Below are 26,992 nucleotides of genomic sequence, written 5' to 3' on the forward strand. Positions count from 1 at the left end.
TTTCTTTTTCCTTTTCTTGATTTTCCGTAGAGATGGGGTCTTCCTATTTTGTCCAGGCTGATCTGGAACTCCTGCCCTCAAAGGATCCTCCTGTCTAATTCTCCCAAAGTGCTGGGATTACAGGCATGTGCCACCGCGCCTGGCCAAATGCACCCCCTTTTTTTAAGTGTACAATTCAATGGTTTTTAATAGATTCACAAAGTCATGGAACCATCACACCTATCTAATTTCAAAATGTTTTCATCACTCCAAAAAATAACCCCATATGGGAGGCCGAGGCGGGCAGGTCACTCGAGACCAGCCTGGCCAACATATTGAAACCCCGTCTCCACTAAAGATACAAAAATTAGTCGGGCGTGATGGCGCACGCGTGTAGTCCCAGCTGCTCGGGAGGCTGAGGCAGGAGAATCGCTTGAACCCGGGAGGCGGAGGTTGCAGTGAGCCCAGATCGCCCCACTGCACTCCAGCCTGGGCGACAGAGCGAGACTCCGTCTCAAAAATATCTAATTAATTAATAAAAATAAAATAAATAAATAAATAACCCCATGCCTTCTGCCTCTGTGGCTTTGCCTGTTCTCGGTATTTTGTGTCAATGGACCCATGCATGGGGGTGGGCCGGGCACCTTTCAAACGTTCAGCCCCCAGGACGGCCCGTGGCCTCCGGATTGGACGGCGCGAGCTGGGTGTGTGTGGGTCGCTCAATCGCTCCGGAGCTTCTGGAGGGGGCAGATGCAGGTGCCGGCTGCTGCAGTGCAGTAGCTGCTGGAGGCTGGGGAGGCCCGGACCCGGTGCAGGAAGACGCCGACCACGCGGGCTCCTGATCGCGGGCGCCCACAGCGCGGACATGGCGGGCTGGTGGCCGGCGTTGTCGCGCGCGGCCCGGCGCCACCCGTGGCCCACCAACGTGCTGCTTTACGGCTCGCTCGTCTCGGCCGGGGACGCGCTGCAACAGCGGCTGCAGGGCCGCGAGGCCAACTGGCGCCAGACGCGGCGCGTGGCCACGTTGGTGGTGACCTTCCACGCCAACTTCAACTACGTGTGGCTGCGCCTGCTGGAGCGCGCGCTCCCGGGCCGAGCGCCGCACGCCCTGCTGGCCAAGTTGCTGTGCGACCAGGTGGTCGGTGCGCCCATCGCGGTCTCGGCCTTCTATGTCGGTGAGGGGCCGGGAGGGGACCTGGGGGGTGGGACCCAGTATTGGGGGACTGGAGGCTGGGACTCGGGGATCAAGCGGCTGGAGGGAGGGCGCTGCAGGAGCCTGGGGACCCGGGCAGGAGCCGGGGCTCTGAGACCGGAGCTGCTTCAGAGGCCTGAAGGGCCAGGGCAAAGGCTAGAGGCTGGGGTGTTTGATTGCGAAAATTTGCAGGAGGCACTGGCTGGGGAGCCGAGAAATTGGGGAGCCAGAGGTCCACCAGGTCAGGAATTTAGAGGACTAGGGTCGGGGCTCAGACTCTGGGGTTGGGTGTAGACCAAGGCTGGAGGTAGGCAGGGCTGCGGAGGTCTTTGCCCCCTGAAAAAGGCCCACGGGAAAATAAAGGAGATCCCAGTTCAAGGCCGTAGCAGCTGCAATGACCGTGAACCAGTCGTGGGACAGGGAAGGAACCGACCTGCTGTTCAGAAAATCCACGCCTGGGGCCCCGGGGCCAACACAGGAACAAAATGCAAGGGGATCAGTGACCCTGAGGGGCAGAGCAGGTGGAATCTGAGGTTGGGCCTGGATCTTCAGCAAATTCATGCCCAGGGGCCTAGTCCTGGTTTGGTAACAAGATTTTCCCCTGGGGTCTCACGGAAAACATCAAGGGACCTTGGATCCTTGCCATGGAGGACTATATACCTGTGAGGGTTCAGGGAACCCTCTCCTTAGAAAATCCGACCCGGGCCTGGGGTGTGGGGGACAGGGGCTTGACTGTGGAAACCTTCTCTACTGCATACAATAAGAACAATGGAAATGGTACCTGAAAAATACCGGGGTTCATTCCCTTAACGAGTCACAAAGGACTCCACCAAGAGGCGGATTTTGATCAATGGGAGTTTTACTTGGCACAAGAAAGGAAGACACTGGGCGTATTCTCCCAAGTAGTGTGTCCCCCAGAGAAAGAGACAGGAGGGTTTTATAAGGTGATGGAGAAAGGAGAGGGTGCATGACTGCATGTAGAGTAGGGGTCCCAGTGAGTCATGATGCTAGCACATAGGCTGCATAGGTTGCATAGGTTATAGTCGTGAAGCTATAGCTTCTCCCGGGGTGAAGACTTTAGCATGGTAATGAGGAGAGTTAACTTGGGTTCATCTACAAGTAACCTGGGGTCACTTAGGAGCTGATTTAAACAAACAGGGTGACCTCATTCCGCCCAGGGTTGGGGAAGAACAGGTTGAGGTCAGGAGGCTGTAAAACAGGCTGATCGCTCAAGTTGGTTAAATTCTTGTCATCTTTGGAGATCCCCCGTCTGCTCACAGGAGGGGCCCTGTGGCCTCTAGCATCATTGCGATTTCTAGAGCCTTGAAGGGGATGGGGTGGGTAACTGGGGAGAAAATCTCTACGGGTCTCAAGCCTGACCTTGGGATTGGGGATCACAGATCTCCCCCCAAATGGGAGGGAACTTCTCCTAAGGGCTGTTGGTGCTTTCTAAACCAGGTTGAAGTCAGACAAGCCACCATCTTGAAGAAACCTACCCTGCCCCGTGTGCCTTATTTTTAAGAGTTGGATTCACTTCCTTTCCCTACAGACCCCACCAGAAACACAAACCACCTGGTTGCCTGTTGTCATTGCGGCCAACTACATGGCTGACGGGGTCAGTGGGTCAGGAGAGCAGGCAGCCTGAGAGCTAGGGCCTCCTGTTTTATCAGAAGGTCTGTGCCTGTGCCCGGTGTGTGATTTGCAGACTAGATTTGCAAACAGCTTCCTAGCACCTGTTACAGGAACCTGGTACACTGGTGAAGGGGTAGGGGACCAGAATGCTATTTAATCCTCAAACAACTAGTGAGATTGTTCTCTTTTTCTTCTTTTTTTTTTGAGACAGAGTCTCGCTTTATTGCCCAGCCTGGAGTGTGCAGTGGCCCAGTCTCAGCTCACTGAAACCTGCATCTCCAGGTTCAAGCAATTCTCCTGCCTCAGCCTACCAAGTAGCTGGGATTACAGATGCACACCACCATGCCCACCTAATTTTTGCATTTTTAATGGAGATGGGGTTTCACCATGTTGGCCAGGCTGGTCTCGAACTCCTGACCTCAAGTGATCTGCCCATTTGGCCTCCCAAAGTGCTGGGATTACAGGCGTGAGCCCTCACACTTGAGATTGTTCTTAATACTCTCATATTACAAATGAGGAAACTGAGTCTCAAAGGGGTTCTGTGACTCACCCAAAGACAACACAATCCAGGCACTTGATGCTCTCATGGTGGGAAGTTTGACAGTTTGCCTGAAACTGAAAGATGCTGAGTTACTAACAAGACTTGAACCTAAGTCCAGGCCAAGCTCTCTGATACAGATTCCTGGCCAGATTGCAGCTTTGCTTTGGTCTTCAGTTTTTCTTTTCTTTCTTTCTTTTTTTTTTTTTTTGAAACGGAGTCTTGCTCTTGTTGCCCAGGCTGGAGTGCAATGACACAATCTCAGCTCACTGCAACCTCAGCCTCCCAGGTTCAAGCGATTCTCCTGCCTCTCCTGCCCCTCCTGAGTAGCTGGGATTACAGGTGCCCGCCACCACGCCTGGCTAATTTTTGTGTTTTTAGTAGAGACGGGGTTTCGCCAAGTTGGCCAGGCTGGTCTCGAACTCCTGACCTCAAGTGACTTGCCCACCTCGGTCTCCCAAAGTGCTGGGATTACAGGTGTGAGCCACCTCACCTGGCCGGTTTTCAGTTTTTCTGGTTCAGTTTCCCTTACCTCACATTTCAATGAAAGGGGAAGTGGAAGGGGATAGAGTGGAGGTTTGCGTAAGGCTTTACATGGAAATTGCAGGAATCAATTGATCTTTGTGCTGGGGCTACCTTGGGGAACCAGAGTCGTAACAGATTAACAACTCTGGCTTGGGAATCAGACACCTGGGTTGAACTCTGTCCGCTATTAACCTCTCTAAGCTCTTTTCCTCCTTTGTAACTCTACCCACCTTAGCGAATTGTAAGGAGGGGCACATGAAATGAGGCACGTAAACTACATAGCATTTAATTAATGCTGGGTAAGTGGAACACAGTATTACCAATATTTTGCTGGGTCATGTAAGAATCGTCTGTAATTAACTAATAAAGCTCTTATATTCCCTCCCTCCTAATCAGGGATTGGAAAGAATTTTTAAAGTACTCTCAGTTTTACAACCTTCCTAAAATAGGAGAGCTTTGCCTTGCTACCTGAATTTATTGTTACTTTTTTCCTTTTCTTTTTCTGAGACAGGGTCTCACTCTATTCCCCAGGCTGAAGTGCAGTGATGTGATCACAGCTCATTGCAGCCTCGACCTCCTGGGCTCAAGCGATCCTCCCACCTCTGCCTCTGGAGTAGCTGGGACTACAGGCACGCACCCCTATACCTGGCTGGTTTTTAAATAGTTTTGTAGAGACAAGGTCTTGATATATTGCCCAGGCTGTGAATTTCTCTTCAGGGATATTGAAGATCAAAGTGTTTTTAGGAAGGGTGAATTGGTGTTCCACTTTCAAATTTTGAATAGGGTAATACTGATGGAAAATTTGTAGTCGCCAGAGTATTTGGGTCCACTGGCCTTTTTTTATTTTTATTTTTTTGAGATAGAGTCTTGCTCTGTCACCCAGTCAGGAGCACAGTGGTGCAGTCTCGGCTCACCTCAACCTCCAAATCCTGGGTTGTGTAGTGGTACAATCTTGGCTCACCGCAACCTCCACTTCCTGGGTTCAAGCGATCCTTCTGCCTCAGCCTCTCAAGAACCTGGAATTACAGGCATATGCCACCATGCCTGGCTAATTTTGTATTTTTAGTAGAGACGGGGTTTCTCCATGTTGGTCAGGCTGGTCTTGAACTCCCAACCTCAGGTGATCTGCCAGATCAGCCTCCCAAAGTGCTGGGATTACAGGCATGAGCCACGCGCCCAGCCCACTAGCTTTTTTAAAAAGACAGAAATTAAAATTTCAAAATGTTCAAATGTTCAACATTTCACAAAATGTTTGGAAGGTAGAGAAAGTAACCAATAGACCCACTATTGTAACCTGATTGTTTTTGTGAATTGTTAGTTTTTGAAAAAATAATCGTTCTGCTATAATTTTTATACTCTGCTATTCTCACTTCGTATTTATCATTCCTTTAAAATTTATCTAGTTTTAGAGTGGAGATTATGTTTTCTTTTTTTTTTTTTTTTTTGTTTGAGACAGGGTCTTGCTGTGTTGCCCAGGCTGGAGTGCAGTGGCATGATCACAGCTCACTGCAGCCTCCACCTCCCAGGCTCAAGCGATCCTCCCACCTCAGCCTCCTGAGTAGCTATGACTACAGGCACGCTACTACACCTGGCTAATTTTTGTATTTTTTGTAGAGATGAGGTTTTGCCCTGTTGCCCAGGCTGGTCTCTTAACTCCTGGACTCAAGCAATCTGCCTGCCTCGGCCTCCCGTTACAGGCTTGAGCCACGGCGCCTGTCTATGTTCTCTTTTCACTGTTGGGTCAGAGGGTCATATTGTTGGATGATAGTGATGGTTACTTTGCATTTTGGAATGGGAAACTTAAACATGAACTGTTATACGGTACTCTACTGAATCTTTTAAAATTTTTTTTGGGTTTTGCAAATAGGTATGAGCATTCTCCAAGGAAAGGATGACATATTTTTGGACCTGAAACAGAAATTCTGGAATACCTATCTGGTAAGATAGGCGTTTGAAAATGTAATCACTATATTTTTGTGTATATATGTATATATATGTGTATAAAAATATATGTTTTGTGTTTATATTTATAAAGATTAAAAAATCTTTTAATTGACACATATAAGTACATATTTTCATATACATGTGATAATTTGACACGTGTTTAATCACATCAGGATTTTTTTGTATGTGTGTGTGTATATATATATATATATATATATATATATTTTTTTTTTTTTTTTTTTTTTTTTAATTAAAAAAACCTTTTTCGAGACAGGGTCTCATTCTGGCACCCAGGCTGGAATGCAGTGGCATGGTCATGGCTCACTGCAGCCTGGACCTCCTGAGCTCAAGCGATCCTCCCACCTCAGCCTCCTGAGTAGCTGAGACTACAGGCATGTGCCACCACACCCAGCTAATTATTTTTAAATTTTTTGGTAGAGACAGAGTCTCACTATGTAGCACAGGCTGGCCTTGAACTCCTGTGCTCCAGTGATTCTCCCACCTCAACATTAAGTACATTTTTATTAAACTATTCCTAAATTAGAGCTCCAGTTTGGTTGACAGAAGGGTCCAATATTTTGACATAGAAATCTTAAAGTTATTTTGATAGATGTATGAGGAGAGGTTTTAAGAGTATCTGTACTTCTCATGAACTGGAAAGAAATAATGTCTCTGGGCCCGGTGCAGTGGCTCATGCCTGTAATCCCAACACTTGGGAGGCTGAGGCAGGCGGATCACTTGACGTTAGGAGTTTGAAACCAGCCTGGCCAATATGGTGAAACCCTGTTTCTACTAAAAATACAAAAAATAGTCAGGCACGGTGGTGCATGTCTGTAATCCCAGCTACTCAGTAGGCCGAGGCAGGAGAATCACTTGAACCTGGAGACAGGTTGCAGTGAGCCGAGATCGCACCACTGCACTCCAGCCTGGGCAATACAGCAAGACTCCATCTCAAAAAAGAGAAAAAAGAAGAAAAGAAAAGAAATAATATCTCTGAATTTTAGTCCATGTTCTCAGTGATTTCTGACTTTATTATATTAACTCTTAGTAATGATCACAATTTACTTTGTAAATTTTGCAGCCAAAGGGACAACAATTTATTCTGTAAATTTGGGATTCTATTTGCAAAATAGAGATTATAGATTGTGAGTGGCTTAATGGAATCATTCCCACATTCAGAGCCAATGTTTTCAGGTGAGCATCCTGCGGAGTCCTGGTGAAAAGAACTTTAACATCACAAAGGTATTGATAGAGAAGGAGAAGGTTTCCAAGGGTTATTCCAAGGTTTGAAGCAAATCAGCATTTTTACTGTTTGCTCGGCACAAATATATACAGTCCAGTCCAATACATATTTATTCATTGATTCAGTTAATATTTATTGAACAGTGTCCTTAAGGCCTGGCAAAATCAGGGATGGTTTTCATCTCTGCCCTAGAGCATGTTTGATTGCATTCATCACAAGGAGGTAAATCTTTGGGATTACAGAATGTTCGCAGACTGGCCTAGGGCTTCACATGTTCTTCCTTCCCTATCAAAAGCAGTGTTGAGCCACACCCAGCTATTACCTCCACAGCTTCTAGCATCATCTGTTGGATGGTACCAGGCCCCTGAGCCAGCATTACTTGATGGCTAGAGGCAGAGGATGGAGAGGTTTGAAGTCAGAGGCTTCCCCTGAGCCTCTATACTCAGGAACAGTAACTATAAGTGTGTTCAGAACTCTTGTGATTTCTCTTAGGGCAGAAATTGAGGACCCCATGGTGACAACCAAATGTGATTTTCTTCTGGTTTTGTTTTTTGTTTGTGTGTTTTGGTTTTTTTGTTTGTTTGTTTGTTTTTTGAGACGGAGTCTTGCTCCGTAGCCTAGGCTGGAGTGCAGTGGCACTCTGCAACCTTTGCCTCCCGGGTTCAAGCAATTCTCAATTCTCCTGCCTCAGCCTCCTGAGTAGCTGGAATTACAGACTTGCACCACCACATCCAGCTAATTTTTTGTATTTTTCAGTAGAGATAGGGTTTCACCATGTTGGCCAGGTTGGTCTTGAACTCCTGACCTCAGGTGATCCGCCTCCCTCAGCCTCCCAAAGTTCTGGGATTACAGGCATGAATCACCATACCCAGCCACTTCTTCTGTTTTACTTTAGAAAAAGGAACAAGTTTTTCCATTATGTTGTAAAGTCTATGGAGATATGTACATCTAACTTTTTTTTTTTTTTTTTTAAAGAGCAAGGACCGGAGGCAGTAGCTCATGCCTGTGATCCCAACACTTTGGGAGGTGGAGGCGGGTAGATCACAAGGTCAGGAGATCGAGACCATCCTGGCTAACATGGTGAAACCGTGTCTCCACTAAAAATACAACAAATTAGCAGGGCATGGTGGCACAAGCCTGTAGTCCCAGCTACTTGGGAGGCTGAGGCAGGAGAATCACTTGAACCCGGGAGGCAGAGACTGTAGTGAGCTGAGATTGCGCCACTGCACTCCAGCCTGGGCGACAGAGCGAGACTCCGTCTCAAAAAAAAAAAAAAAAAAAAGAGCAAGAAGTAGGCAGCTCACACCTGTAATCCCAGCACTTTGGGAGGCTAAGGCAGGAGGATCACTAGAGCCCAGGAGTTTGAGACCAGCCTGCGCAACCATAGTGAGACCCCATCGCTACAAAAATAAAATAAATTAGCTGGGCATAGTTGCAAGTGTCTGTGGTCCCAGCTGCTCGGGAGGCTGAGATGGGAGGATTGCAAGCCTGGGAGGTCGAGGCTGCAGTAAGCTGTGATTGCACCGCTGCACACCAGCCTGAGTGACAGAGTGAGACCATGGTTCAAAAAAAAAAAAAAAGAGAGCAGGAAGTAGAATTGGGAAAGAAGCTTCAGGCAGGGATTTGTAAATGAACAAAACCACAGGAACATTTGCATACTGTTTAAAAAAAAAAACTGGTTACAATGAGTGAGTCTCATCTACCCTCAGGAGAAGAAAGAGGGCAAACCAGTAGTCTGAAGCCCAGCCCATCTGGAGATTTTTTGGGAAGATTTCCTTTAAAGAGGCAGGATGGCTCACGCCTGTAATCACAGCACTTTGGTAGGCCAAGGCAGGCGGATCATGAGGTCAAGGGATCGAGCCCATCCTCGCCAACTTGATGAAATCCCCTCTCTACTAAAAATACAAAAATTAGCATGAGCCCAGGAGGTCGAGACTGCAGTAAGCTACGATTGTGCCACTGCACTCCAGCCTGGGTAACACAGTGAGACCCTGTCTCAAAATAAAAAAATAAAATAAAATAAAGATCTGAAGTTATGCACATACTGGGGGACAGGTCATTCCAGGGGCAGAAGAGCTGAGTACAGTTGACAATGCGTAAAGCACCATGGTATGCCTGGAGGGGAGAAACCACAGGCAGTTTGGTGTTCACAGAGTATTTGTTGAGCAACTTGGAATGAGTTTGGATCCTGGAGACTGTTGAACACCCAGAGCTGAGGATCTTGAACTTCACAGTTAGGTAATGGCAGCAAAGGAAACCAAAGTGGGTGGTTATCGTGACCAAGTTCACATAAGAAATAAGGAAGCATATCAGGTGTGGTGGCTCACGCCTGTAATCCTAACACTTTGGGAGGCTGAAGCAGGAGGATCCCTTGAAGTTAGGAGTTCAAGACCAGCTTGGGCAACATAGCAAGACCCTGTCTGTATTTAAAAAAATAAACATGGTGGCTCACGCCTGTAATCTCACCACTTTGGGAGGCCAAGGCGAGCAGATCATATGAGGTCAGGAGTTCGAGACCAGCCTGACCAACATGGTGAAACCCTGTCTCTACTAAAAATACAAAAAATTAGCCAGGTATGGTGGTGAGTGCCTGTAATCCCAGCTACTCGGGAGGCTGAGGCAGGAGAATCACTTGAACCCGGGAGACGGAGATTGTAGTGAGCTGAGATTGCACCACTGCACTCCAGCCTGGGTGACAGAGCAAGACTCCATCTCAAAACAAACAAACAAACAAAAAAGAAATGAGGTGAGTTCAGCTTGGGAAATGTTGAATGTCAGATGCCTTTGGCCTATTCAGAGGGAGATTGCCGAAGCACAGAGGAGAGTTCATGGCAGGGTTTAATTATTTTTAGCGCTCACATGTCCCAGATTCGGCCAGTGGGAGTTCCCCCAAGCTGGTTCCTGTGTCCTGTGCATCACCCATCTTCTTTCTCCTTTACTTCTTTCTTAAGCCACTTCCTTTCTGGCATGACAGCGTGTTCCAGGATCATCTTGTACTTGCACCTGCCCTGCCCTGGCCCTAGAATCAGCCAATTCTTTGAGGCATCCTGCTTCCTTTTAGTGGGGGAATGATTTGAGAACAAAATATACTACTACATGATACTACATTCTGACAAGAAAAAAAACACAGCCATAAGAAATAAAGCCATGGCCAGGCACAGTGGCTCCTGTAATCCTAACCCTTTGGGTGGCGGAGGTTGGAGGATTGTTTGGGGTCAGGAATTCAAGACCAACCTGGCCCGCATAGTGAGGCCTCGTCTGTATTAAGAAAAAAAAAAAAAAGAAAGAAGGAAAGCCATGTTTGGATAAGTTTAGTCTTCTGATTATTTTTGCTAAAGTTTTAATTTTTTTTTTTTTTTTGAGACAGAGTCTCGTTCTGTTGCCCAGGCTGGAGTGCAATGGTGCAGTCTCAGCTCACTGCAACCTCTGCCTCCCGAATTCAAGCGACTCTCCTGCCTCAGCCTCTTGAGTAGCTGAGATTACAGGTTCCTGCAATCACGTCCTGCTAATTTTTATTTTTAGTAGACACAGGGTTTCTACATGTTGGTCAGGCTGGTCTCAAACTCACGACTTCAGGTGATCTGCCTGCCTTGGCCTCCCAAAGTGCAGGGATTACAGGGGTATATTTTATATTTAAAGCATATTTAACAATTAAGGGCCAGGCTCGGTGTCTCACGCCTGTAATCCCAGCACTTTGGGAGGCTGAGGTGGGCAGATCACCTGAGCTCGGGAATTTGAGATGCACAACAAGAGCGAAACTCCGTCTCAAAAAAAATAAATAAATATAAAATATACATTATGGCCGGGCATGGTGGCTCACGCCTGTAATCCCAGCACGTTGGGAGGCCAAGGCGGGCAGATCACCTGAGGTCAGGAGTTCGAGACCAGCCTGGCCAATATCATGAAACCTTGTCTCTACTAAAAATACAAAATTTAGCCAGGCATGGTCGTGTGCACCTGTAATCCCAGCTACTCGGAGGCTGAGGCAGGAGAATCACTTGAACCCAGGAGGTGGAGGTTGCAGTGAGCCAAGATCGCACCATTGCACTCCAGCCTGGGCAACAAGAGCAAAACTCCATCTCAAAAAATATATATATATACATACACATATACGTATATATGTGTATATATACGTATATATGTATATGTATACACACATTATATGTAATATCTACTTTTAAATATAAACATAAATATTATAAAGCTTTTATTGCAATTGTTCATTTTAGAAACTTCAGAAAATACAAATTAGTAAAAAGAAGAAAATAAGTCTGTAATACCACTTTTAAGGACTATTTTGAAAACCTCTAGCTGTTTTTTGAGATAAATTTACATACCAAGACTTTTTTTTAAAAAATCATAATGATGACTTTTTCATAGGACTGTGTAGGATAAAGCTTGTGAAATGTCTATCTAACATATTTTGTAATATATGAAAATTTCAGCTAAACTTGTTCTATAGCATCACATGGTTTCAATATATTATTAGAAAATCATTCCATAAACAATGGTTTGGTATATAGTTTCAACAATTCAAGGCTGGGCACAGTGGCTCATGCCTGTAATCCTACCACTTTGGGAGGCCGAGGCAGGCAAATCACCTGAGGTCAGGAGTTCAAGACCAGCCTGGCCAACATGGTAAAACCCTGTCTCTACTAAAAATACAAAAATTAGCCGAGCATGGTGTCAGGCACCTGTGATCCCAGCTACTCAGGAAGCTGAGGCAGGAGAACTGCTTGAACCTAGGAGGCAGATGTTGCAGTGAGCCAAGATCTTGCCACTGCACTCCAGACTAAGCGACAGAATGAGATTCCATCTCAAACAAAATAAATAAATAAAATAATTCAGCAGGATGAGGTGGCTCATGCCTATAACCCCAGCACTTTGGGAGGCTGCAGTGGGACTACTGCTTTTGCCTGGGAGTTCAAGACCAGCCTGGGCAACATAGAGATACCATGTCTCAGAAAAAAAAAAATTAATTTAAAAAAAAAGAATTCATTGATGATTCTGTATTTACAAATATATTCCTGCATCATTTGTTCATGGTAACCAGGAAATTGCAATGCATATATACATGCTGTCATTTCCAAAGCCGCTGTCTTCCAGAATTGGTACTGATTCTAGTAGACTTTTCATTCTGGTGTTAAAAATATAATTAATATAGGAATGTCTTCTACCTAATAGCTTTTTTCCCCACAACTCCCCAACCCCCTCACTCTAGAGGCCTTAAGTAGTCTAAGTTAATCAGCTTAGTCTGAAATATAATACTACCTAGGCATCTTGTTGGCCTAGTATTTCTTACTCTTTTATGGAATGAACTGTGCAATTGTTTTGTGTGGTTAAAAGGTATTCTAGGTCAGGTATAGTGGCTCACACCTGTAATCCCAGCACTTTGGGATGCCGAGGTGGTGGATCACCTGAGGTCGGGAGTTCGAGACCAGCCTGGCCAACATGGTGAAAACCCGTCTCTACTAAAAATACAAAAATTAGCCAGGTGAGGTGGTGTGTGCCTGTAATCGCAGATACTCAGGAGGCAGAGACACGACAATTGCTTGAACCCAGGAGGCAGAGGTTGCGGTGAGCTAAGATTGCACCACTGCACTCCAGTCTGGGCAACAGAGTGAGACCCTGTCTCAAAAAATAAAAAACAAAATAAATAAATAAAAAATAAAAGGCAATCTAATAAAGTTGTTGCTTTTTTTTTTTCCCAATTCCAGAGTGGACTGATGTACTGGCCCTTTGTACAGGTAAGTTCCACCTACTCAGTAATATGAACTCAGGGCTTTGGTTTCCATGTGGCCCTAACGGACTCTCTCTCTGTTCCAGCTGACCAACTTCAGCCTTGTTCCTGTTCAATGGAGAACAGCTTACGCTGGAGTCTGTGGTTTTCTCTGGGCCACCTTCATCTGTTTTTCCCAGCAGAGTGGTGACGGCACATTCAAGTCAGCTTTCACCATTTTATATACAAAGGGGACCAGTGCCACAGAAGGGTACCCGAAGAAATGAGAAGTCAAGGACTCTCTTAAAGGGACCACATTTTTTACCTAAAATGCACAGAATTGCCTGCAGACAAAATATTTGATGTGCCAATTATGCACTTCATTTTGAGGAATTACTACTATTTATAGACCCACTTTTTAAAAAATTATCAATGATTATTTTTGAATTGTATTCAGACTTTTTTCCTGTTCTAGTCTGAAATATTACTTCTCTAATATTTTGGTTAATATGAATAATAGTGGCAAAATGGCATTTTAGAATTATTAATATTTCTAATATTTTAACACAAGTTTCAGGAAACTTGGTTTTGATTGTTCACATTTCTATTCTAAAATCTCAGGTTATCTCCTGAACACTTTTGGGCAGATGAAGTTTTATACCAAAAAATAGTTCTTAGAGTGAATTTTAATTTACATAGAACTCAATCGAAATGAAGATTTAATAACCAGATTTCTTTCTCCAAAACATACACAATTTGTTATTTTAGTAAATACCTTTTTTTTTTTTTTTTTTTTTGTGGTGGAGTCTTGCTGTCTCCCCGGCTGGAGCGCAGTGGCACGATCGCGGCTCACTGCAGCCTCCATCCTCTGGGTTCAAGCAATTCTCCTGCCTCAGGCTCCTGAGTAGCTGGGATTACAGGCACGTGACACCAGGCCCAGCTGATTTTTGTATTTTTGTTCATTTGCTTTTGTTTTTGACACAGAGTCTCGCTCTGTCGCCCAGGCTGGAATGCAGTTGTGAGATCTCGGCTCACTGCAAGCTCCGCCTCCCGGGTTCACGCCATTCTGCGTCAGCCTCCCAAGTAGCTGGGACTACAGGCACCTGCCACGATGCCTAGCTAATTTTTTGTATTTTTAGTAGAGATGAAGTTTCACCGTGTTGGCCAGGATGGTCTTGATCTCCTGACCGCATAATCCACCCACCTCGGCCTCCCAAAGTGCTGGGATTACAGGCGTGAGCCACCACAACCGACTTTTTTTTTTTTTTTTTTTTGAGACAGAGACTCGCTCTGTCACCCAGGCTGGAGTGCAGTGGCATGATTTCGGCTCACTGCAACCTCTGTCTCCTGGGTTCAAACGATCCTACTGCCTCATCCTTCGGAGTAGCTGGGATTACAGGCAGGTGCCACCATGCCTGGCTCATTTTTGTATTTTTAGTAGAGAGGGCGTTTTGCCATGTTGGCTAGGCTGGTCTCTGTCCGTCCTCTGAGCTCAAGCTAAGCCATCATATCCCAGTGACCTGCACATATACATCCAGATGGCCTGAAGTTACTGAAGATCCACAGAAGTGAAAATAGCCTTAACTGATGACATTGCACCATTGTGATATGTTACTGCCCCACCCTAACTGATCAATGTACTTTGTAATCCTCCCACCCTTAAGAAGGTTCTTTTTAATTCTCCCCACCCTTGAGAATGTACTTTGTGAGATCCACCCCTGCCCGCAAAACATTGCTCCAAACTCCACCACCTATCCCCAAACCTGTAAGAACTAATGATAATCCACCACCCTTTGCTGACTCCTTTTTTGGACTCAGCCCGCCTGCACTCAGGTGAAATAAACAGCCATGTTGCTCATACAAAGCCTGTTTGGTGGCCTCTTCACACGGACACGTGAGACAGTCTCCAACTCCTGGCCTCAACTGATCCACTCTCATTGGCCTCCCAAGGTGCTGGGATTATAGGCATGAGCCACCGCACCTGGCTCAGTAAGTACATTTTTTATTATCAAAAACAGAGTAGTGTATGATTGGCGTATTCTGTGTAGAATGTATTTTATTGATGTCTTCTATTTTTATAATTTTTAATGAATGCTTTTTAGTTTTGGGCAGATTCAGTTGACTAAAGCACCTCATTTCCCAGATACATGAAATAAAATACTTGGTTTCTTTTCCAATTTCACACTGATGTTATTTTGTGAAAATCAGTGCTTTAAGATAAATATTTATACTTTAAGGTAAACATGAGAAACTTGATCTAATATTTAATATTTATTCAGTTCTACACTTTATTAACTTCTACACCAGCAGATTTAAAAATTATGTAACTATCTCAAGAAGTTTCACTTGGACGTAGTGGTTCACGCTTGTAATCCCAGCACTTTGGGAGGCTGAGGTGGGAGGATTGCTTAAGGCAAGGAGTTTGAGACCAGCCTGGGCAATACAGCAAGATCCCATCTCTATTTTAAAGAAAAGTTTCACTTTGGGAGGCCAAGGCGGTTGGATCACAAGGTCAGGAGATCGAGACCATCCTGGCTAACATGGTAAAACCCCATCTCTACTAAAAATACAAAAAATTAGCCAGGCGTGGTGGTGGGCGCCTGTAGTCCCAGCTACTCGGGAGGCTGAGGCAGACGAATGGCATGAACCCGGGAGGCAGAGATTGCAGTGAGCTGAGATTGTGCCACTGCACTCCAGCCTGGGTGACAGAGTGAGACTCCGTCTCAAAAAAAAAAAGTTTCAGTAAATTCCACCTAAGAATTCCACCAGAGTTCTGTCATCTCCAATGTCATGTTCCACAGATTTCAAGTTGTGAAGCCCTGAACTGTTAATTTATCCTGAGAATGTATATTTAAGCTTAATTTAAGACTATATACCTAAAAATTGAGCATATAATTTGTATAATTTGTTTATGTAAGTTTCTGTAAGTCATAAATATGTAGTTTCCAAGTGGATAATTTACCTGAATGTAAAAGGCATTAATATATTTTACATTATTGGGACCATAGTACAGAAATTTCTAAATGGTTTGTAAAATAACTTGTTATTTGCTTTGTTGTAAAAGTAGTTAATACAATGGAAAAATGGTTTCGTAATAAGAAGATACATTTTAACATCAAAACGTAGGCCGGGCACAGTGGCTTACGCCTGTAATCCCAGCACTTTGGGAGGCCGAGGCGGGCAGATCACGAGGTCAGGAGATCGAGACCATCCTGGCTAACATGGTGAAACGCCATCTCTACTAAAAATACAAAAAATTAGCTGGGCATGGTGGCGGGCGCCTGTAGTCCCAGCTGCTCTGGAGGCTGAGGCAGGAGAATTGCATGAACCCGGGAGGCGGAGCTTGCAGTGAGCAGAGATCAGGCCACTGCACTCCAGCCTAGGCGACAGAGCGAGAATCTGTCTCAAAACAAACAAACAAACAAAAAACTGTACCCAAGTTAATTATAAGTACTACCTGGTGCAAAACTTTACAGAAGCTGTGGTATCACTTTTATGATAGAAGAATAGTGTTTGCATTTTGTATAAAAGTACTTGGGGCTGGGCATGATCGCTTATGTCTATAATCCAAGTGCTTTGGGAGGCGAAGGCAGGTGGATCATCTGAGCCCAGGAGTTTGAGACCAGCCTAGGCAACATGGCAAGAGCCTGTCTCTCCAAAACCTACAAAAATTAGCCAAGCATGGTGGTGTGAGCCTGTAGTCCCAGCTACTTGGAAGACTCATGCAGGAGGATCTCTCGAGCTCAGGAGGCAGAAGATGAATAAATAAATGGATGCAACTGAATGAGATGAGGTCTCTCTTGAAGGAGAGAGCAAAAGAGATTTAAATAATAACAATTATAAGAAGGCTGGGCGCGGTGGCTCATGCTTGTAATCCCAGCACTTTGGGAGGCCAAGGCAGGTGGATCGGTTGAGGTCAGGAGTTCAAGACCAGCATGGCCAACACAGTGAAACCCCGTCTCTATTAAAAATACAAAATTAACCGGACATGGTAGTGCGTCCTGTAGTCTCAGCTACTCAGGTGGCTGAGACAGGAGAATCGCTTGAACCTGGGAGGCATAGGTTGTAGTGAGCCGATAAATATAAAAAGTATTAAAGTACTAACAGAAGAAAATTTCCACTGATCACCCTTTAGCTTTAAATAATGCAGAAGCATATGCCCAGTTTACTTGTAATTAAAAATCATGCATCATTCACAATTTATCAGTCTTTTTTGTTTGTACAAAAACTAATATAAGTTATTCTCTTTTATTTGTATTGTGATTGGTTTGATGAGAGGGAATTAGGCCACTTGAGAGTTTGTGCGTGTTTATAATTTTCTGGCTGGGCCCGGTGGCTCATGCCTGTAATCCCAGCACTTTGGGAGGCCAAGGCGGGCGGATCACTTGAGCTCAGGAGTTTGAGACCAACTTGGGCAATGTGGTGAAACCCTATCCCTACCAAAAATACAAAAATTAGCCGGGTGTGGTGGCTTGCACCTGTCCTCCCAGCTACTTGGGGGTGCTGAGGCAGGAGGATCACTCAAGCCCAGGAGGTGGAGGTTGCAGTGAGCCGAGATCACGCCACTGCACTCCAGGAAGGGCAACAGAGCAAGACTGTGTCTATAAAAAAAAAAAAAAAGAAAGAAAAGTAAATTAACTTTGGTATTTCAGGTTGTATTTATATGGGGACTTCACATCAACTATGTTCACTACAATTGACCAAGTTAAGTGTAGACAGTCTCTTTAATAGAGAGATTATCTGGAACTGCAATTTTTTTTTTTTTTTTGAGACAGAGTTTCGCTTTGTAGCCCAGGTTGGAGTGCAGTGTCGCGATCTCGCCTCACTGCAACCTCTGTCTCCCGGGTTCACGCCATTCTCCTGCCTCAGCCCAAGTAGCAGGGACTAAAGGCGCCCGCCACCATGACCCACTAATTTTTTTTTTTTTTGGATTTTTAGTAGAGTCGGGGTTTCACTGTGTTAGCCAGGATGGTCTCAACCTCCTGACCTCGTGATCTGCCTGCCTCTGCCTCCCAGAGTGCTGGGATTACAGGTGTGAGCCACCGCGCCCGGCCTGGAACTGCAATTTCTAACTCATACATCATTGCTATAAACCTTATTTGTTTACTGTTTCTCTTCCAAGGACGGTCAGTCATCCTTTAAAATTCATTTGAAGTTATGAAAAGATAGTTTTTGTTACATGGGAAATTTACTTTTAGTACAGTAAAATGTTATGTGAATTTCTACAGAATGTTTGCTAGAATGAATTATATCTAGGATATGCTTAACAATATATTCTGGAGGCAGCTTTCATTTGAAATTAGGTTCATCTTCTGAGAGTATTAAAAAGTTAATGGGTTTTTGTGCCTGAAGATTTTGATGTTGCATTTGGCTACATTTAATCCACTTTCACCCATAAGGTTTAGCATCTAAAAAAATTAAATCACTGCTAATGCAATTAAAATGACTGAAAAAGTTTCTTTTAATACTTTCAACAGCTGATACATAAAAAGGGAAATCTGGAATTTGAAGATAAAGTATGTGCTGGAGTTGAAAGGTTAGGAACACATGAAGATCTGTGAACTGTAGCTAACCTTGTGAATAGAAGGCAGTAATTACTGAGTAACATTTTTGGTATATATCAAGTAAAAGCTTGTCTTTTCCTAGTTCTCTTCTCCTTTGTTAAGTGTATCCTTCTCTAACTACATCTTTATTCATCCTTTTCTTCCTTCCTCTTTCTTTGTCCACAACCCAACCAAACCCACTGCTCTCTCCTCTCACCCCCTGCCCGTGCCATGACCACTTGAACATTCCAGGAGGGCAGAATAATTGTAATAAGGCTAAGGGCTTATTACACTTCTTACACTTAAGGACTCAACAGCCTTGCTTTAGAGAGGATGGTAGCGGAGGATCCTCTCTGGTCTCTGTGAGAAGAAAAGAGAAAGGACCATCCTACGGAGAATTTATTTTTATTTTTATCTTTTTTGAGATGGAGTCTCACTCTGTTGCTCAAGCTGCAGTGCAATGGCATGATCTTGGCTCACTGCAACCTCCGCCTCCCAGGTTCAAGCGATTCTCCTGCCTCAGCCTCCCGAGTAGCTGGGACTACAGGCATGTGCCAGCATACCCAGCGAATTTTTGTATTTTTAGTAGAGATGGGATTTCACCATGTTGCCCAGACTGGTCTTGAACTCCTGACCTCAAGTGATCTGCCTATCTGTCTATGATATTTTAGGTTGGCAGTTGCAAACTAATGGTCCACAGCGTGCTTTTTATGACACCTAGAAGGTTTGAAGACTTTGATTTCATAGTAAAAATCTGGGTTTCAGGCTGGGTGCGGTGGTGCATGCCTGTAATCCTAGCACTTTGGGAGGCTGAGGCAGGTGGATCACCTGAGGTCAGGAGTTCGAGACCAGCCTGGCCAACATGGTGAAACTGTCTCTACTAAAAATACAAAAATTAGCCAGGCGTGGTGGCATGTGCCTGTAATCCCAGCTACTCGGGAGGCTGAGGTGGGAGAATTGCTTGAACCAGGGAGGTGGAGGTTGCAGTGAGCCAAGATTGCGCCACTGCACTCAAGCCTTGGCAACAGAGCGAGACTCCATCTCAAAAATAAATAAATAAACAAATAAATAAATATATAAAATCTGGGTTTCAGGCCAGGTGTGGTGGTGCACTCCTGCAATCCCAGCACTTTGGGAGGCGGAGATGGGCAGACAGCTTGAGCTTAGGAATTCCAGACCAGCCTGGGCAACATGGCAAAACGCCATCTCTACAAATAACACAAAAACATTAGCTGGGTGTGGTAGAGTGCGCCTGTAATCCCAGCTACTTGGGAGGCTGAGGCGAGAGGATTGCTTGAGGCTGGGAGGTTGAGCCACGATCACACTCACACACTTCAACCTGGGCAACAGAGCCAGACTGTCTCAAAAAAGAAAAAGAAAAGAAAAAAGAAAAGAAAAAAGGAAACGTCTGGGCACATGCCTGCTACAGTCCTCTATGAAGCAATGTGCCGCAGCAGGGGTCCCTAATCCCTGGGCCATGGACCTGTACTGGTCTGTGGCCTGTTAGGAACTGGGCCACAGAGCAGGAGGTGAATAGTGGGTGGACAATTGAAGCTTCATCTGTATTTCTGGCCGCTCCCCATTGCTTGCATTGCTGCCTGAGTTCTGCCTCCTCTTAGATCAGCAGCATCATTAGATTCTCATAGGAGCATAAACCCTGTTGTGAATTGCACACACAAGGGATCCAGGTTGCATATTCCTTATGAGAATCTAATTCCTGATGATTTGTGGTGGAACAGTTTCATCCCAAGACCATTACCATCCTGCGCTCCATCCCTTGCTGCCTGTGGAAAAATTGTCTTCCACAAAGCCAGTCCCTGGTGCCAAAAATGTTGGGGACTGCTGTGCTTTAGAATGTGCCTTGAATCTGCAGCCTCTATTGTATAGTTCCCTATAGACTTTGCTTCCTACCATCTTACATTCTGCCTTATAGGCATTTGTGTTTGCAACTCTTGTTTTTGTTAGTATGCTACGCTGGTGACATTGACCAAATTGACCACACATTAATTATAAGCTTAGTTGGTGATGACCTCAATGGAATAACGTGACATAAGTACTGTGACAATACTTCTTGCATGTATCTGCTGGTAGAATTGTAAACCTGGTGGTCCGAGATGGTCTAATTCGATCTTCCTATGTATCTACTTATATTAATAGTGGTAGCATTTGAGGTGGTGATTCAGAGTTTCAATGCCTCTTCTCATGGCAACAACAAATGTTTTCCTTCTGAATCAGCATTAACCTAGATGTTACTGCAGATCAAAATTAGACTGTACATTTTCAACCACAGAAATATTGGGCAGTAAACATTTTTCTTAATATTGATTGCCTACATAGGTTATGTAATTAGCATATGTTTATAGTTTTGTGATTTATGTGTGGCTGCTACTGAGCCAGAGGGGGTAAAGCAACAGCGTTTTCTCAGTTGTGTGAGCAGCATTACGTTATAATGAATAGGTAATATTAAATTGGGCTGATGAATCATATTACAGTAATCCAATATTTCACTTGTAAAGTCCCTGAGGTTTACAGAAGGAAATTTTTTCTAATAACAAGAAGAGTGAGGCATGTGCTTTGGTCTTTATTTCCTAGTTATACGATCCTGGGTAAGGAGCTCAACCTTTCTCTGCCAAAATTAAATGAGGATTAAATGAGATCATATATGTGAAGGTGTGAAGGACAGTGCCTGGCACATAGTGGGATCAATCAATGTTAGTATCTCTAAAATAGAGATTGAGTCTGAAGGTTCATAAAGTGGTAGAACAGATCTTAAGATTCCCAAATGATAGAATTGTTATTTATTTGCCTAAGTAGTAGTAGATTACTTATTGTATGTCCAGGGGATCCTTTTTTTTTTTTTTAATAATTTTTATTTCTTTAAGACAGAGTCTCACTCTGTCCCCCAAGCTGAATGCAGTGGCACCATTTTGGCTCACTGCAACCTCTATCTCCCTGGTTCAAGCAATTCTCCTGCCTCAGCCTCCTGAGTAGCTGGGATTACAGGTGTGCACCACCATGCCCGGATAATTTTTGTAGTTTTAGTAGAGGCAGGATTTTGCCACGCTGGCCAGGCTGGTCTTAAACTCCTGACCTCAGGTGATCCAGCTGCCTCAGCCTCCCAAAGTTCTGGGATTGCAGGCATGAGCCACTGGGCCTGGCCTTTTTTTTTTTTTTTGTGAGGCAGGATCTCACTCTGTTGCCCAAGCTGGAGTGCAGTGGCACTACCATGCCTCACTGAAGCTTTGAACTCACTGGCTAAAAAGATTCTCCCACCTCAGCCTCCTGAGTAGCTCCATGGGTATGCACCACCACACCCCATTATTTTATTTTTTGAGAAGGAGTCTCACTCTGTCACCCAGGCTGGAGTGCAGTGGCATGTTCTTGACTCACTGCAACCTCCACCTCCCAGGTTCAAGCAATTCTCCTGCCTCAGCCTCCTGAGTAGCTGGGATTATAGGCGCATGCTATCTTGCCTGGCTAATTTTTTTGTATTTTTGTATTTTTTAACTAGAGACAGGGCTTCACCATGTTAGCCAGGATGGTCTCGATCTCCTGACCTTGTGATCTGCCCACCTCGGCCTCCAAAAGTGCTGGGATTACAGGTGTGAGCCACCGTGCCCAGCCCTGGTATTTTTTTTTTTTTTTTTTGTAGAGATGAGGTCTTACTATGTGGCCCAGGCTGGTCTTACATTCCTGGACTCCGACCTTGACCTCCCGAAGCGTTGGGATTACAAGCATGAGCCACCTCGCCCAGTTCCCTTCTTAAATAGTTTTAAGGGGGAGAAGAAAGAAAAAGACTGATTTTCTTCCCTTCCACTACCAAGACAGGCAAAACACACCAGAACACTTTGCTTAGCATTTCTTTTCTAAAGTGACCAAAATTTATAATAGACACTTAAAATGTGTACTGGAATATATCCCAATTATATCCCCAGTCTATAACTCAGCTATATGCAGCTCCTTTGTCTTATTAATGCTATGAATCAGCAATAGTTTATGTTTTCATATCACCTGAGGCCATGCAATCCTCTTTTTTGGTTGTTGAAATAATTTCTATAACTATTTCACAATTTCAATTGCCAACATTAATTCAACAGTATTTAAGCTGTCTGTCCCAGACACTATGCTAGCCTTTGGAGATTTCCAAGGTGAATAAGGTGAGGACCCGGCTATTTGCCTACGGTCTAGCAGACAGACCTTTTTTTTTAATTTTTTGAGACTGAGTCTCGCTCTGTCACCCAGGCTGGAGTGCAGTGGTGCGATCTCAGCTTACTGCGAGCTCCGCCTCCCCAGTTCACGCCATTCTCCTGCCTCAGCCTACCGAGTAGCTGGGACTACAGGCGCCCACCACCACACCTGGCTAATTTTTTGTATTTTTAGTAGAGACACGGTTTCACTGTGTTGGCCAGGATGGTCTAGATCTCCTGACCTCGTGATCCGCCCGCCTTGGCCTCTCAAAGTGCTGGGATTACAGGCATGAGCCACTGCGCTTGGCCACCTTTTTTATTTTTTATTTTTATTTTTTTGATAGGAGTCTCCCTCTGTCTCCCAGCCTAGAGTGCAGTGGCACGATCGTGGCTCACTGCAACCTCTGCCTCCAGGGTTCAAGTGATTCTCCTGCTTCAGCCTCCTGAGTAGCTGCAACTTACAGGTGTGTGTCACCACACCCAGATAATTTTTGTATTTTTAGTAGAGACAGGGTTTCGCCACGTTGTCAGGCTGGTCTCGAAATCCTGACCTCAGGTGATCTACCCGCCTCAGCCTCCCAAAGTGCTGGGATTACAGGCATGAGCCACCGCACCTGGCCAGCAGACAGACTTCTAAGCAAATTACAGCTACCACTTTTTGTATGCTCACTAACTGTAGATAAGGGTCTATGCCAAGCCCTTTACATCATGTGGTAATTGATATGGTGTAGTTGAGTGGTTTCTACCATCGATTTCCTTACCTCCCCCACTTCCCAACAGCTCCCAGTTCCTTTTTGGGGATCTTCCCAGAAGATGACTTTACTTGGCTCAAGAGGTGGAGCACATGACAGATTAAGCCAATCAGGGCGTTTCATGCCCCTTGCTACAGGGTTCAGAGACAATCATGTTATCTGCAGCTGCCCAATTAGAGTGAATCTCATAACCTTTGATGGAAAACCAGGACAAAGGCATATTCTCTCATTGTGTCATAGAGATGTTAATATAGATGTAAGGCCTAGGACTACCATAGCCATTTTTTGTTACCGTGAAAGACATGGAGGCAAGAGGGTATCACTGAAAGAATCTCAGAGAAACCCTGATGATTTCATAACCTCTGATATAGCCTATGCCCAAAGCCTGCTCTGGGCTTTTCTGTTATAGGAGCTAGGAGATTCCCTTTATTTTTCAAACCACTGGGAATTAGGTTTTCTGTTACTTGAAGGAAAGCATCATAAAGGATACACAGGACCTTTTTTATAACACAGTAGATATTATTCTCATTTTATTTTTGTGTGTTTTGTTTTGTTTTGTTTTTTAAGACAGAGTCTCGCCATCTCAGCTCACTGCAACCTCCACCTCCTGGGTTCAAGCGATTCTCGTGCCTCAGCCTCTTGAGTAGCTGGGACTATAGGAGCGCACCGCCATGCTGAGCTAATTTTTGTATTTTTAGTAGAGACAGGGTTTTGTCACGTTGGCCAGGCTGGTCTCGAACCCCTGGCCTCAATGGATCCACCCACCTTGGCCTCCCAAAGTGCTGGGATTATAAGTGTAAGCCACCACACTCAGCTGATTCATTTATTTTCATTTTTTTTTGCCATACAAACCAACAACTTGCAAACTCCCATTATAAACATTTCCAGAAATTTATGGGGTACAGGTGCAATTTTGTTGCATGCATAGATTTCATACTGGAGAAGTCAGAGCTTTTAGGCTGTCCATCACCTAAATGACGTGTATTGTACTGAATAAGTAACTTCTCATCATCCACCCACCTCCCACACCCTAACCCTTCTCAATCTCCATCATCTATCATTCCACACTCTACATTTCTGTGTACACATTCTTTAGCTTCCACTTATGAGTGAGAACATGCAATATTTGTCTTTCTGTGTCTGGCTGGTTTAAGATAATGGCTTCCAGTTCTGTCCATATTGCTGCAAAGGACATGGTTTCATTCTTTTAATGGTTGAATAGTATTCTATTGCGTATATGTATCACATTTTCTTTTTTTTTTTTTTTTTTTGAGACGGAGTCTCGCTCTGTCGCCCAGGCGGACTGCGGACTGCAGTGGCGCAATCTCGGCTCACTGCAAGCTCCGCTTCCCGGGTTCACGCCATTCTCCTGCCTCAGCCTCCCGAGTAGCTGGGACTACAGGCGCCCGCCACCGCGCCCGGCTAATTTTTTTTGTATTTTTAGTAGAGACGGGGTTTCACCTTGTTAGCCAGGATGGTCTCGATCTCCTGACCTCATGATCCACCCGCCTCGGCCTCCCAAAGTGCTGGGATTACAGGCGTGAGCCACCGCGCCCGGCCCACATTTTCTTTATCCACTCATCTGAAGATGGACACTTAGATTGAGTCCACATCTTTGCTATAGTGCATTCACTCTCATTGTTATAGTTGAGAAAACAAAGGTCCTTGCCCTTTGCCACTAAGCCAATACATGGCAGAGTCAGGTTGATTTCCAAACCCACACTCTTATGATCATGCTTCTAGTAACTCCAGTGCAGTTTAAGAGGTATATCAAAGATACAGTAGTGACAGCCAGGCATAGTGGCAGGCACCTGTAATCCCAGCTACTTGGGAGACAGGAGAATCACTTGCACCGGGGAGGTGGAGGTTGCAGTGAACCAAGATGGTGCCACTGCACTCCAGCCTGGTCAACGTAGCGAGACTCCATCTCAAAATAAATAAACAACTAAATAAATAAAAGGGATACAATAGTGACATAAAGGAATGATCAGCTCATTGTGTGTGTGTGTGTGTGTCTGGTGGCCATGGAGATATTCCAGGGCACCAGACATGGACAAAAGTATGAAGTGAAGGGCTCATGGTATATGCTAAATAAATGTTTCTATTTTATTTTCCTTTGCGCTTCTGAGAAATTTGCTGTGCTAGGGAATCTTAGTGGGAGGTTCCAAATGTCTCTAATGGGTCCTTAAAAGTAACACAGGGGACTGAGAGTTACTTTCAAAAAGCTAGTATTTTAAAACAGGTTGTGCAGATGAATTCAGACTTTTGTTTGTTTGTTTGAGACAGTGTCTCATTCTGTTGCTCAGGCTGGAGTGAGGCAGTACAATTATAGTTCACTGTAGTCTTGACCTGCTAGGCTCAAGCAATCCTCCTACCTCAGTCTCTGGAGTAGCTGGGACTACAGGCCTCCACACCTGCATAATTTTTTTTTTTTTTTTTTTTTTTTTTTGTAGAGACAGAGTTTCACCATATAGCCCAGGCTGGTCTTGAACTCCTGGCCTCAGGCAGTCCTCCTGCCTCGGCCTCTGAAAGCATTGGGATTACAGGCATGAGCCACTGTGCCTGGCCCAGACAGGCCCAGACTTCTTTACCATGGATGAGATCTTTGTCAACTCAGTGTGGCCATCTCACGCTGCTTTGTCAACAAGTTCTTTTTTTTTTTTTTTTTTTTTTTTTTTTTAATGAGACAGGGTCTTACTCTGTTACCAAGGCTGCAGTGCAGTGGTTCAATCTCGGCTCACTGCAACCCCTGCCTCCTGGGTTCAGGCAATTCTCCTGCCTCCGCCTCCTGAGTAGCTGGGATTATGGGTGCCCACTACCACACCCGGTGGTACATAATAATAATTTTTCTATTTTTAGTAGAGACAGGGTTTTGCCATGTTGGCCAGGATGGTCTCGAACTCCTGGCCTCAAGTGATCCGCCCTACGTGGCCATCCAAAGTGCTGGAATTACAAGTGTGAGCCACCGCGCCTGGCCACATTCTATCATTTTTATATTGGTTTAGTCCATCCTGTCTTTGATTCCACTGCCATTGCTTATTTCAGATCATTGCTGTTTCTCATGGAGACCCTTGATACTCAGAGTGTGGTCCATGGATCAGAGTCTCAACATCACCTGGGAACATCTAGGAATCTTAGATACCCACCTCAGACTCTCTGGATTAGAATGTGCATTTTAACACACTGAAATTTGACAAGCACTAATAAATTTTTTCACTAGAGTCTTCCAATGATCTCCCGACTCTAGTTTGGTTTTGTTTTTTCAGAGATAGGGTCTCTCTCTCTCTCTCTCTCTCTCTCTCTCTCACCCAGTTGAGAGTGCAGTGGTGCACTCCATAGCTCACTACAGCCTTCAGCTCCTGAGCTCAAGTGATCCTCTTGCCTCAGCCTTCTGAATAGCTAGGATTACACATGCATGCCATTACATGCAGCTACGTTTCTACTTTTTGTAGAGACAGGGTCTCACTATGTTTTCCAGGCTGGTCTCGAACTCCTGGCCTCAAGAGATCATTCCACCTTGGCCTCCCAAAGTGCTGAGATTAGAGGCATGAACCACTGCGCTGGGCCCCTGCCTCTAGTTTTTTTGTTTGTTTGTTTGTTTTGAGACAGAGTCTCACTCTATCACAAAGTCTAGAGTGCAGTGGCGCAATCTTGGCTCACTGCAAACTCTGCCTCCAGGGTTCAAGCAATTCTCCTGCCTCAGCCTCCTAAGTAGCTGTTCCAAGCATTTTGAGAGGT

General features: G+C 44.9%; 2 protein-coding genes across 3 annotated transcripts in view, besides 1 other annotated feature; both read left to right on the plus strand.

Annotated features, from left to right (window-relative positions):
* Positions 1-700: 700 nt before the first annotated feature.
* MPV17L (MPV17 mitochondrial inner membrane protein like) lies at positions 701-18,218 on the plus strand. 2 transcript variants are annotated; one of them, NM_001128423.2, is made up of 4 exons: positions 701-1,154; positions 5,734-5,804; positions 12,771-12,800; positions 12,880-18,218. In NM_001128423.2, the coding sequence occupies exons 1-4, from the start codon at positions 845-847 to the stop codon at positions 13,057-13,059; spliced, it is 591 nt and encodes a 196-aa protein (NP_001121895.1). In that variant the 5' UTR covers positions 701-844; the 3' UTR covers positions 13,060-18,218. The 2 variants fall into 2 exon arrangements, with proteins under 2 accessions (NP_001121895.1, NP_776164.2); NM_173803.4 differs by lacking the exon at positions 5,734-5,804.
* Positions 701-26,992, plus strand: part of MPV17L-BMERB1 (MPV17L-BMERB1 readthrough) — a 192,506-nt gene continuing 166,214 nt past the window's right edge. The window contains exon 1 of the mRNA NM_001414674.1: positions 701-1,154. Within this exon, the coding sequence (NP_001401603.1) occupies positions 845-1,154 (310 nt within the window). The 5' untranslated portion in view covers positions 701-844. The remainder of the gene's footprint in view (positions 1,155-26,992) is intronic.
* Positions 17,117-17,334: a silencer, noted in NCBI's record as "fragment chr16:15506027-15506244 (GRCh37/hg19 assembly coordinates)". NCBI's record gives its function as "represses an EF-1alpha promoter that drives an FKBP-Casp9 reporter gene in an ReSE screen in HepG2 liver carcinoma cells {active_cell/tissue: HepG2}" and the evidence as "EXISTENCE:reporter gene assay evidence [ECO:0000049][PMID:32094911]".

Source organism: Homo sapiens, chromosome 16 (assembly GCF_000001405.40).
Source record: "Homo sapiens chromosome 16, GRCh38.p14 Primary Assembly".
NCBI lineage: Eukaryota > Metazoa > Chordata > Mammalia > Primates > Hominidae > Homo > Homo sapiens.